The sequence below is a fragment of the Homo sapiens genome, chromosome 5, assembly GCF_000001405.40.
Source record: "Homo sapiens chromosome 5, GRCh38.p14 Primary Assembly".
Lineage (NCBI taxonomy): Eukaryota > Metazoa > Chordata > Mammalia > Primates > Hominidae > Homo > Homo sapiens.
Window position 1 is genome coordinate 102,918,287 of NC_000005.10, and position 12,667 is coordinate 102,930,953.

General features: G+C 35.8%; 1 protein-coding gene across 58 annotated transcripts in view; it reads left to right on the top strand.

Moving 5' to 3' along the window:
• Positions 1 to 12,667, top strand: part of PAM (peptidylglycine alpha-amidating monooxygenase) — a 276,323-nt gene that overhangs the window by 163,504 nt on the left and 100,152 nt on the right. For all 58 annotated transcript variants that reach the window (NR_157231.1, NR_033440.1, XM_024446066.2 and 55 more), the window contains 2 exons: positions 6,671 to 6,756; positions 8,299 to 8,382. Coding sequence is in view for 56 of the 58 variants with exons in the window: in XM_024446066.2 (XP_024301834.1) it covers positions 6,671 to 6,756; positions 8,299 to 8,382 (170 nt within the window). In the remaining 2 variants the exon portion in view is untranslated. The remainder of the gene's footprint in view (positions 1 to 6,670; positions 6,757 to 8,298; positions 8,383 to 12,667) is intronic.

A 12,667-nucleotide genomic window follows, 5' to 3' on the forward strand; every position in this document is an offset into this window, starting at 1 on the left:
CAAGCATATCAATGGCATGATTTGTTGCACTCTATTTGTGCTCTATAGACTTAATTCAAAGCATGACAATTCTAAGTTCCCTAGATTTATTAGCTGAATATGAGCCTAAACTAAGCTCTAAGTGAGCAGATGCTCTTTTGAAGTTGTTAGAGTCAGTAATGAAATGAAATGAAGGTGCTTAAATTTACTATTTAAGTAAATTTTTATATTTAAATTACCCAGTTTAATTTAAAGTAAGTAAATTTAAATTTACTTAAATAGTAAATTTTGAGGATATCTTGGAAATTTAAATATTGTATTCATCTATTCTATGAATTACTTCATTCTGTTTTTACTCTTAATCAATTTTTTAAATGATAAGTGATTAGCTACTTAGAGTTTCAGGCTTTGAAAATCATAATATTTTGTTTATACAAATTGTGTTGGCATTTGGGGTAATTCTGGAGTGCTCTCTTTTTTAAATATGAGATTGTAGGCTTGTGCATTTTTTATTCTGCTGAGCACAGGACATAGGGTTTAAAGCAATTTAGGATTGCAAACCCCAAGATTTTGTGTTTAAAATATTGGATGATTAAAACGAGTGGGCTTCTTATGTATCCAGTGTTATACTTTGGTGTGATCTTCTATACATAGCTAAAATTATTTTTAGTTCTTCCTATTAATATTTGATTTTAAAGCTATTTCTAATGACACTTAGGACCAACTAATCTTAACAAACCAAAGATGGCTTCTACAGGTTGTTTGATGTTTTTTGATGAAAAAAAATCCAAGCTGGTTAAATGAGGCTATTTCCAGCTGTTCTAACTGGGAATCATTCTCAAGCTAAAGCAGTAGTGCTTTACCATCTTATGAAGCTTTAGCTTAAATCCCTTTCAACTGCTTCTATTTATTAACCACCTGCTGTGTCTTTTTAAATGCCACTATCTCCACAGGGTTACAGCTGCTGATGAGAAGAAAAAGGAGATAAAACATTATATATATATATATGCCTGTATGAGAGATACTCTGCTTGGGTACTTATTTAAATGACTGTTTTTTAAAGGTGATGTTGTTTTCCAAATAAGCCCACAGCTTTGTTGCCTCCCTCCCAGTGATAATGATTCTTTGGTTGAGAACAGTATTTGCATATGCTGTCTTTATGCTCCTGTTCCACATCCTGGCCCCTGTCATCCATACACTATATACAGCAGGATTCAGTGTGTCTTCTGCAATCCTCTCTTTGTTTTTTCTGCCGTAGGAAACTTCTAAAGTTAAATATATGTAACATCCTTGTCAGTATAAATAAAAATAACAGAATCTCCCAAATCTACACTGTCTCTTGTTTTAAGCACTGTAAAATGTGTCATTGAGTGCAGTAGCAATGTTTAGACATAAATTACTGATAGGCTAAAATTAATAGCATCCATTCCCTTTTTCCACTTTAATATTGTAATAGATTCCTATCATATCGCATATTGGGATAGTATAACGGATCAATTTTTAAAACACAGTTGGTCTCTGATTCTAACTTCCAGTCACCAATTTGGTGAGTATGTTCCTTGGCTAATAATATTAAGGTACTTGGATTAAAGGTGTTAATAGGAGTTCCTTAGAAATTGCCCAATTCTTTGTAGACTAGTGTCAACTTTAATAAAATAGAATGTTACAGTTGGAACCCTTTTGACTGTTTCAACAGAAACAAATGCATTTTTCCTCACAAGACTAGTACTTTATGTTAAATACAGTAGCAATATTATAATGCAGCGTTGTATTTAGCACAGATCCAGAACTGTGAAATCGGAACATCTTGGTTTCAAATCTCAGCTCTGCTACTTGGTAGTGGTAATAAACATTGGTTAAATGATGTAACCTGTATTGGTCTGTTTTCTCATCTGTAAAATTGGGCTACTAATCTTGGCAGCTTGATTGGGCCATCATGAAGGGTAGATGAGGTAATATAAGTAATGTGTTTGGTGTAGTGTCTGGCATGTAGAAGGGATAGCTATTATTTTTATTCATTTATTGATAAAGTATATATTAATCATTCACTATGTGCCAAGCACTTTGTTGGGCATGGAGAATTTGGTATGAATAAAACAGACACACACTCTGCTTTTATGGACTTACTGCCTGTCTAACCTTATTGGAGCAAAGGAACAGTGGGTAGTTTCTGTGATGCTATTTATCAGGCTGATATTTCTTAATCACCATTCTAATTTGCTTTTTCATTATGTATCATTCTAATTACTATATTAATGTCTGTCCATTGCATTGAAGTTCACATAGGATTGTCTGAATTTGGGAAAATATTCTATGGGTTTATAGAACAGGTAATAGTATTTGAATATCTGACTCATACTGAATGCATTTTGAAAGGTAAGGACCATCCCCTCATGCTATTGATTTTGTGTTGTGTTTCTTTAAAAAACTTTCTAACTTTAGATCAGTTTTCCTGGTTGTGGTTCTGTTAGATATGTAATGCATTAAAATTGGAATTTAAGGCTATACAGACTTAACTTGAGGGCATGACAATTTTTTTTTTTTTTAGCCAAAAGAAGAAACGAGTTATCAGTTCTGATATTCCCTGAGTAACCTTGGATTTTAAATAGCCTTTAACAGATACAACCAGAGAGTACTTTAACAGTCAGTCATGCTGTATTTGGATAATTCGAAATGACAAGCTACCATTTTCAGTGCTTGGCACAGTCAGAAAATATTCATGCCATCTGAATGGTTTCCCCGTGGATTAGACGTGAAAAAGGTTCTATAGGAAAGGTCCAAGAATCCAGACTAGTTTTATTTTCAAATGTTAATTCTCATCATTTTTACTATGAATACTAAGAAACCACAAGGGAGCTATGTGAACCCTTCCACAATTTAATCGACTTAGTCTGGAGGAGCCTTATAGGAGAAGCTGCTAGAATGATAAGAAAAAGAAACCTGGTTGATGAGGCCTGAAATTACAACAGCCATTGATCAAGAGTTACATTGCTTCCCAGCCTTAAGGCTCTCTTTACTAGTAAGAATAGTAAAAATCCCCTCTACTTCCATAGGTCCTTTTTTTTGGGAAGCCAAAATATACTATACCATCTTTCTCTTTTTGGTCATTTTACATGGAGAAAATATGATGCCATTTTCATTTAAAATGGGAAATGGAAATATTTACCACTCTGATATGTTATCAGTTATAGAACTCAGTTCTCTCGCCCTTTTGTTTTTCCTCTTAGTCCTCCCATTGAGTTTTAGGATTAGTTCCAATGCCCCAGTGTCCTCCAGTGAGTCATTCTTTACTCAGTCTTGAGTTTAATATATTTTTTATTGTAAAACAGGGTTTTAAAAATTAAACCAATGTTTGCTTGGAAGCTCTTATTTACCAGACCTGATAAGAGAATAAAATATAAAATCATTGTCTCTTTGTGAATATGTCACAAACAACTTGTTTTATCTCAAATTTGATTTTAGAATTGCATGCACAAATTGCAACTTAGTTCAAGGATGACAGTAATAATCAAAGCTTATCTCCACATAATATCATTCTCTGCCCATAAATCAGTGTCAAGAATTGAGATAGAAGGGACTGTGACAGCCAGAGCTTTAAGTCATGGTTTAGCTGTTTGACCTTTGGAAGTTACTTAAACTCTCTGAGCTTATTCAACTTTAAATTACAACTTGCTGGCAGTGTTCTTATATGAGCTGATTTGTTCAAAAAACTAGGCAAACAATAATTCAAATTTATTGGTGTTTATATTTTAAATTTTTAATCTAATTTTTTTCAATAAAATATTATAACATGAAGTTGAGAGTGCAATACAATTTAAGCTAATTCAGCTCTTTAAGTCTCTGTACATGGAAAGTTAAAAACTCACCGAGAGGTAAGTTTCACCAAACATTTGTTTCATGCCGGGACTTCAGCATGAAGATATTATCCTACATACTTGTACTCGAAGTCCTCACAGTCTGGGTGGAGAGAGAGAAGTAAGCTGACACTTAGGATGAGGAGTGCTATAGTTAAGGAATGGAAGGTGGATGGGGGTCGGAGAACACTTTCCTGAGGAGGAAGGCTTGAACTGAATCTTGAAGGAGAAAGTGAATAAAAGTTTTTCAGGCAGACAGCTGGGATGGGATATTTCAGGCAAAGAGAGCAATGGAAATAAGGAAGATTGGAAACTGGAAGCAACTTGGCAGGATTAAAAAAGGGGGTGTTGTCTGGAGACAATGTCTAGATCATGAAAGGTCTTACGTGTTATGCTACAAGGTTTGGATTTTATTTTGATTTTATTTTTGGGAAGCATTTGAACGATTTTGAGCCAACAAATGACATAATCAAATGTATAACTTAGAAAAAGTTACTAAGCCAGTTTTCTCTGTTATATTTCAATCTGGTTCTTTCTAGTCATCCATTGAAAATCAACTTGCATATCAGAGGAAACAGTTATCTTGTTTAACCTAAGACTGTCATCACATTGGTTATAGGCATTTGTAATGTTTATGATCTTTGTTGAAAGCTATGAAAATTGCCACCCAAATCTTTAAATTTTAGTAGCTAACAGCAGTGATATACAAAGTTCAACACATTTGACAATATCATTTCTTTAACTATTATAGCTGAGGCCAGGAAGGAAAATTTTGCTTTTGGGCATCATCCAACATCCTGAGCCTTTTAGCACACTTGGCACAAGGATGTCACAGACATTTCTTCCAACGTACAATTCTCACATGGTAATGATCAGTCATCATAAGTATATTGTATTTGACAGTGAACAGGAAGAAACCACTAGTTGATGTCTTTTATATTACACATTACACAATCTCTTTCTACAGCCTGATTTATAGAAGCAAGATCACTTTGCTAAGTATAACCTTATCAAGACTTCCTGGTTCTGGGTCCCTCACCCCTTAATTCAGACAGATAATACAGTTGTCTGCACTCATTGCCTATCCTCCAACCTCATTTCTGGCTAGAAGCAGAAAATACGGTAAGAGTCCCTGCCTCTGAGTCTGAAGCAACTTCTTACCAGTGGTTTTCATATGTGCAACGTGGGTGTTTTCTGTGTTTCTGGCTTCAGTTTCTAACCTATTTAGGAATCTATCACAGTCTGCCTTTGCTTCCCATCCAGGTCAGGGGCAGTGTACATTTTTTTCTGTGTGAGCCAACCTCCGTCCCAAGAAGCTGTATTTGTCCTTGTCCTTTATAGTCTTCAAGCTTTTCAGATCTGCCTACACACCTGACTCACCTTTTTTGGTCCCAGTTTTCAAAACACAAATACACAAATCAACATAAAATGTAGCCTAACAATGTTTGGATTAAATCCAATTCAATAATAGAAAAAGCTGAGATATATTGTAATGGGAAAAAAATGGTGGCTTGGAGTCAGACATACTACCATCTATTAATGTGGATCTACCAAATATCTGAGTTACCGCACTGAGTGCCTTATGCACATCACCACAACAGCCCTATCACAGAGGTTTCCATATAGGAACTGGGCCTTTGAGGGCTTATAAACACGCCCAAGATACAGAGCTGCTAAGGGGTGGTTCTAAAATTGAACTCCAGATCTGTCTTTCTGCCTGGGTGCTCTTTTCACCCTGCAACACTCTCTGTCAACAGTGAATCTTCAGATAAAGTGAATGTTTTGTTAAATAATGCATTGCCCTGGAATAGTACTTTGAAGTTTATAAAGTCTCATTTGATTTACAGAATAACTCTGTGATGTAAGTGTACTTATCCCTGTTTTCCGTGAGAGAAAACTAAGGCTTGGTAAGATTCAGTAACTTAAAAAAAATTAAGTAACTTGCATAATATGATACAACTTATTAATGCATTCCAGTATTCATAAACTCAAAATGTCATGCATGTATAAGATCAAGAACTCTTAAGAGAGGCTGGGCGCAGTAGCTCACACCTGTAATCCCAGCACTTTGGGAGGCTGAGGCAGGTGGATCATCTGAGATCAGGAGTTCAAGACTAGCCTGGCCAACATGGTGAAATCCCTTCTCTACTAAAAATACAAAAAATTAGCCGGGCATGGTGGTGGGCACCTGTAATCCCAGCTACTCAGGAGGCTGAGGCAGGAGAATCGCTTGAACCCAGGAGGCGGAGGTTGCAGTGAGTCAAGATCGCGCCATTGCACTCCAGCCTGGGCAACAAGAGTGAAACTCCGTCTCAAAAAAAAAAAAAAAAAACAAAAAAACTCTTAAAAGGGACACACTTGTATTGCTCACCCCACTGATGGTAGGCACTGTAGGCACTGTTTGTTGCTTTGGCCAGATTTGTTGACAACAGTGATCGCCAAAGGGGAAATGTGTATGACACTTTTTTTAGTCCAGATTTCTGCTGCATTAGCTTTGGTTTATACAGACCGTCTATGTAATGCTTGCTTTTCTACCTGATTACATAGAGTACATTCCATGTATGAACATATCAAAGTAAAAATTATATATCTCCCTCACAGGATTGTTTCATATCAGGCAAAAAAAAAAAAAGTTTCCTCTTTTATGTGCTTTTTTTCACACAGTAATAGTTCTTTGCTCCAGTCTTTATTCGGATCTTAAAGCTAATATCATGCAATGATGATATATTGATGTACTTTGGTTTCAAATACCTTCCCCCATCACCTCCCACCATGGGGAGCAATTTATGCATTTCACTATTTAAATCTTCATTTATACTACTTTTTATTTTCTTCAGGTTTTGTGATGAAGGAACCTGTACAGATAAAGCCAATATTCTGTATGCCTGGGCGAGAAATGCTCCCCCTACCCGGCTCCCCAAAGGTATGTCAGAGCCTCTTGGGTGGTCTTATGTTCAGCTGCTTAATTTCTGTTTCCAAAGTACTTTTCATTATAGTCCTTTCTAACCAGTGTTGACAGTGTTCTGTATTGCTGCTTCACAGTGAAAGTACTTGCATTACCTCTTTTGTATTGAAAAGGTTTCATTTAGGTAGTTACTCTTTTTCTGCCTCTCTTTGGTAAGTAGTTTGCCCACACAACAGTTTAGATAAAATTAGAAAATAACCAAGGATACCTCAAGCCACCTTTGACCTAAGGCACATTGGTTCTTGACAGCAGACACATTTCATGAGCCAAGAGAGCTAGGAATTAAATAAACTGCTGTTTCAGCAAAGAATTTTTTACAGTCCTGGAACCTAGGTATCTAATGTGATGCCAAGACCTCAGCTGGCTTTCTGACTGCACCTCTAAATTGTACATAGCTTTCAATGTGTGAGTGTACTACCAGACTCTCATTTATTACCTGGATATTTCTTAAAGGGTGTGTGTGGGTCTGTTACAGAATAGGTCTGTCGTGGTTCATGGATGATCTCGTGATACACATGCACCTCTCTTTCCTCCCTTACTCATTGCCAGCATCATTAAATGATGTCTGATTTCTTGCACTTCAAATGAGCCTCAGAATTCTCTCCATATGAGGCAGCTGCAACCAAACAAGTTTGAAACTAACAGGGAGGTCTGTCATAGATTTGTTGACATACATTGGTAGAGGAGATTTGTTTAAAAAAAAAAAAAAGTATACTTCTGCCTGTAAATATTTTCTCTCTAGATTTTTTAAAGCTCACTAGCAAGCTTTATTAACAGTAAGACTAATAAGAATATTCAGATTCCAAAAAATCACTGAGATAATGGACTTCAGTAATCTAGTTGGTAACTGGTTTCCTCAATGACATTTTTGTAGATACCTCTTTTCACAGCAGAAGAAAAGTAATGCCACTTAAATGCTCCTAAGAGGTCTATTTCCTATATTCAATCACAAAATAAAATAAATATGAATATATACAAAACAAAATGGGAGAATGGGTTTATGTATGTCTTTTTTTTTTTTGAGACGGAGTCTCGCTCTGTCGCCCAGGCCGGACTGCGGACTGCAGTGGCGCAATCTCGGCTCACTGCAAGCTCCGCTTCCCGGGTTCACGCCATTCTCCTGCCTCAGCCTCCCGAGTAGCTGGGACTACAGGCGCCCGCCACCGCGCCCGGCTAATGTATGTCTTTTAAATAATCAATAGAGACAGAATTTTGTTTTGCTCTGTTTCTTTCAAAATGAGTGAATTGTCCTCTTAAAGTGTAAGTGATTACTCTGGTTCTGAAGTGGGAACTATGAGTAGAATTTCATCATAGTTTTGAGGAGATTATAATGACAGATTATATTAGAAATTATCAGTCAATGGTATATTTCTGTTTTCATATAATATAATTTTATATGTTATATGTTATTTCCCTTTGGAGTTCATAGAACAGCAATTTGAGATTAACTCCATTTTAGATGCTCATTTCTAATATATTAACTTTTTTGTAAATCTTTAGGTGTTGGATTCAGAGTTGGAGGAGAGACTGGAAGTAAATACTTTGTACTACAGGTACACTATGGGGATATTAGTGCTTTTAGAGGTAAGTTTTGAAGTGTTGGAACTAAGCAAAACTTCTAGTACTATATTGTTTAAAATACATGCACAAACTATTATCTACATCTTAAAAAGAATTGCCCACACCCTCTGCCCACTAGGGGATAACAGCTTTTGTTTCCTTTAATTTGGAACTGTTGAAGGAATGACTTTTATTTTAGAAGTCATTTCTGTTATGCACCTGTGCATCCTACTGTGTTTTCTTTTATGCTGACTTTATAGAGCTCTCTTGCCTTCTAGTGTATTGTTTTATCAGCCTGCTCTTGCTCTTATTAGGAGTGCGGATCATTCCAAGCAACACTGTTGGAAAGCATAGGAAGGTACTGGTTGTTTATATTTATGTTGCTCTGAGCAAGCCACCGAGAGTCTATAGGTTCTGCAATACCAAAGGGGTTCTCAAACACTCAGGCTCATGTCGATTCCTTATCTATCCATACGTGGCACTTCATGAACTCATCCATTGTCCACTGCTGTAAGGCACAGACCCCAGCCACCCTTTAGATAATGCTGAACACTCCCCTAGACACCTGTTGCTCTACCAGTGATCGCTATGCACTTTATTTAAATGCCCCTTTCCTTACTATAGATCGTTAGCATGAGGAAGGGGCCCTGTTCCCAAGGCAACCAAGATCAATGCTTGTTACTCCTGCTGCTGCATTTAGTCAAACTCCAACTGCATTCGGGTTCACACTCTTGTGTTCACAGGTGTAAATATTAAGATTTCTCCTTGTCTTGTTTGCTTTTCTACTATGTCTTGCTGACTTATATATATTCTCCTGAATTCTCTAATTTGACAGTATATTTCTAAGTAACCTGATATGTTTCCCTTTCCAAATACATTAGCTATCTCTCCAGCAACTAAGTTTGGAAGTAGATGTCCATCTCTGCCTATGAAATACCCTTTAGGACCTTTGCTAAGAGAGCCCCATGGGGTAGAAAGGACCATAGATTGCCAGCATTCAGAACGAGGACAGTAAATGCAGTCTCCCTCTGGAAAAGGGTGTTGAAAGAATGATTTTATGTCATTGAAAATGTACTATAATCAAATATATTATCAATTAATATATTTATTAATACACTAATAAATATATATAAATTAATATATATATAAATGGACCAGCCTATGAACCTAACTTAGAAATAAAATTTATTTTTAGATTAAAAATATGCTTTGAGTTATACACAAATAACTTTTCATTTTTTGGAATAGAACATAATCTTAAACTGTTAACTCTCTATAGTGCTGAGAGAAGGTTTTGCTGAAAACAAAGAAATAAATAATATTTGTGTTTGGGGAACAAAGACAGAGATTATCTGCTCTAAAAATTGACCATGCTGGTTTCAGTAGAACAGACAGATTGTGAGACTGCTGACTTCCAAAGTATTGACAAAGCTTTAATTTCCTCAAAAAAGGCAAGCAGACCTTTCCAGATCACCACAACTAAAGTAGCTCATCATACTGGCGCAGGTTCCCGCAAACCCTAATCTCTACCCTCTATAAAACCCTGTACTTCACTTTTCAATCTAATTCCCCTCAGCGTTGTAAGGACCCCTAACAGATACTGCATTGATACTCCAGAGAAAACACATGATATATGCTTGTTTTTAAAAATATGTTACTGTAATAATTTCTTATAAGGAGTTAATTTTGTTTTATAATTTATGTTTAATCTAGGGATAGTAAAAGTACTGATATTTTAATATGTAAACATATAATTATTCTTTGCTGTAAGAGACAGATAAGAAATTTTAACTTTTCAATAGTAGTTTTTTATTTTCTCTTAAAAACAAGTTTTTCTAAAAGATATATGGGGTAGAAAGATTACTAGTGCTATAATTCATATAACTTATTGTAATATTATTAAAATGTAAGCAAAAATTTCACTCATGTAATTCATTCAGTAGATACTATCAGGTCCCTAAAGCTTTATTTAGAGTAGTAAGTAAAAACATGGGAAAATATCAAATCTCACTAAAACAATGAGATATCGTTTTATATTTATTAATTGGGAAGTGGTGGATATTAAATTGTCCAGCATTTGGATGAATCTGATGTGCTTTAGGAGGCTTTATAAATTTAGTATGATGTTTTGGAAAGCATTTTTACCATTTCATGTATGTTTAATATATAGTATTAAAGTCTTGTTCTAGGCTTTTGTCCTAAAGAAAGATTTTTTTTCTTAAAAATGCTACTCTATCTACCCAGTTATTCATGCACATGAAAAACTGGAAAGTTCTCAAATGGCCCTCACTAGGACATTGGTTAAATAAATGGTATAACAACAAAAATAGCCAACAATAAGATCAAATACAGACTATATAAAATTCATGTATGCTTACCAGGATTGTCAAGCCCAAGAAAAAAAGGAAATGGTTGATGAATAAGAAAGGTAGGATTGGGTGATTTTTTTTTCCTTTAAAATGTTATAACATTGCCTTTATAATTACATGTTTAAATTCCACAAATAGAAGCATTTTGTTAACTCCTTCAATACCTTCCAGTTAGTGTACTGCACTCCCACTCACACCTCATGCCAAAAAAAGAATATGAATCTCTATATGCCTGATTTACTATAGGAATGTATTCTGCTTTCAGCAGCTTCTGTATTGTGATCTCATACTTATCTCCAGATGCACCTAGAAGTGGAAAATAATTGTATCATTTTATCTTCTAATTATAAAAAATGCATTAAATATTTATGTTATGTACATATTATATATATAAACAAACACACAATTATACACATACATATATAATCACAGCACTGCTTTTGGTGCCATTGTCAGGGAAGATTTTATTTCGTGGTTTTAAAACTATTGGTGATATTTTAAAGTATATAAATTGTAAATCTGAAGCAGAGTAACACTACTAGGAAATTATTATATTCTACTGAAAAGTGGGGAAATGTTTGGCTTAAGGGTATGAGCATTTTTCCACACAGGGAATGTTTTAGACAATTGAGAAACTTAGGATCTTTCTTTAATAAAGCACCAGAAATGAAGGCAAAACATCTTCTAAAAGTTGTGGGAATGTGGTAGAGTATCTGAGAGAGTATAACCTGAAGCCATACCTGGGCATGTTTTAGATCAAGCTTGTCCAAGCTGCAGGCCACAGGACAGCTTTGAATGCGGCCCAACACAAATTCATAAACTTTCTTAAAACATTATGAGATGTTTTTTGCGATTCTTTTTTTTTTTTCTTTTAGCTCATCAGCTGTTATTAGTGTTAGTGTATTTTATGTGTGGCCCAAGACAATTCTTCTTCCAATGTGGCCCAGGAAAGCCAAAAGATTGGACCATCCCTGTTTTAGACTGTGATCTTCCTTAGTATGAAAAGATTGGCTGTGATTTTAGAGTGAGTTCTATGGGATTACATAAAATGTTTGCTTTACTTTGTTTTTTTGTTTGTTTGTTTGGTGTTTTGGAAATTACACAGAATGTGAAGCTGTAAAATAATCCTTCAAAAACAATCAATTGTATTAAATGCCATATCAACCATAGTGTCAAGCCTATACTAGTGCTGGGTATACTAGTCTTCCTGCCTGTAGGAGTTTATTGTATTCTAGTAGGTGAGACAAGCACAAAAGGAGTGTGTTTATAGGCAATAATAATAATGCATACTGGATCTGAAGTCTGCAGAGAGACAGGAGCGTACAAGTATACCTGAAAGTGGAGAGGTATGAAGTCTGGGAAAGGCTTTCCAGAAGTTGGACCCAGAGCAGGGTATGGAAGGGTGATCAGGAGCTCCCAGGCCAGAGCAGGAGGGAAGACAGGTTCCAGACAAAGGTAAAAGTAGATGCAGAGACACGGGAGTGAAACAGCATCTTAGACACAAAGAACTTTGGGTCATCTGACGTTGCTGGAATGTGAAATGCATAGGGAAAAGTGGCAAGAAATTAGAAGAGAGGTCAAAGGTGGGGAGCAAGCCATAAAGATCCTTGCTAGGACTTGATTCCTAAAGCACTCAGAATGCTCTTCAGTCAAGCTGTAACCTGACTGGATTTTCATTTCCTAATGCCGCTCAGTCTTGGGCTTGAGTACATGGAAAAGCTACTAGCCTTATGAAGAAAGTATGGGGCTGTAGGTGGCCAGAGTGAGCTAGGATTGCAGCTTAGGAAGGCCAGAATGACTTTTTAAAAAATGTATAGACTTTTAAATTTTCTAAAACTTAATATTCCATAGGAAATAGGATGTACTCTAATTAGAAATGAATGTCCCACGTAGGTGATAGTATGTATGGTACCAGGTTTGGTGACCAAACTCTAAGTCCA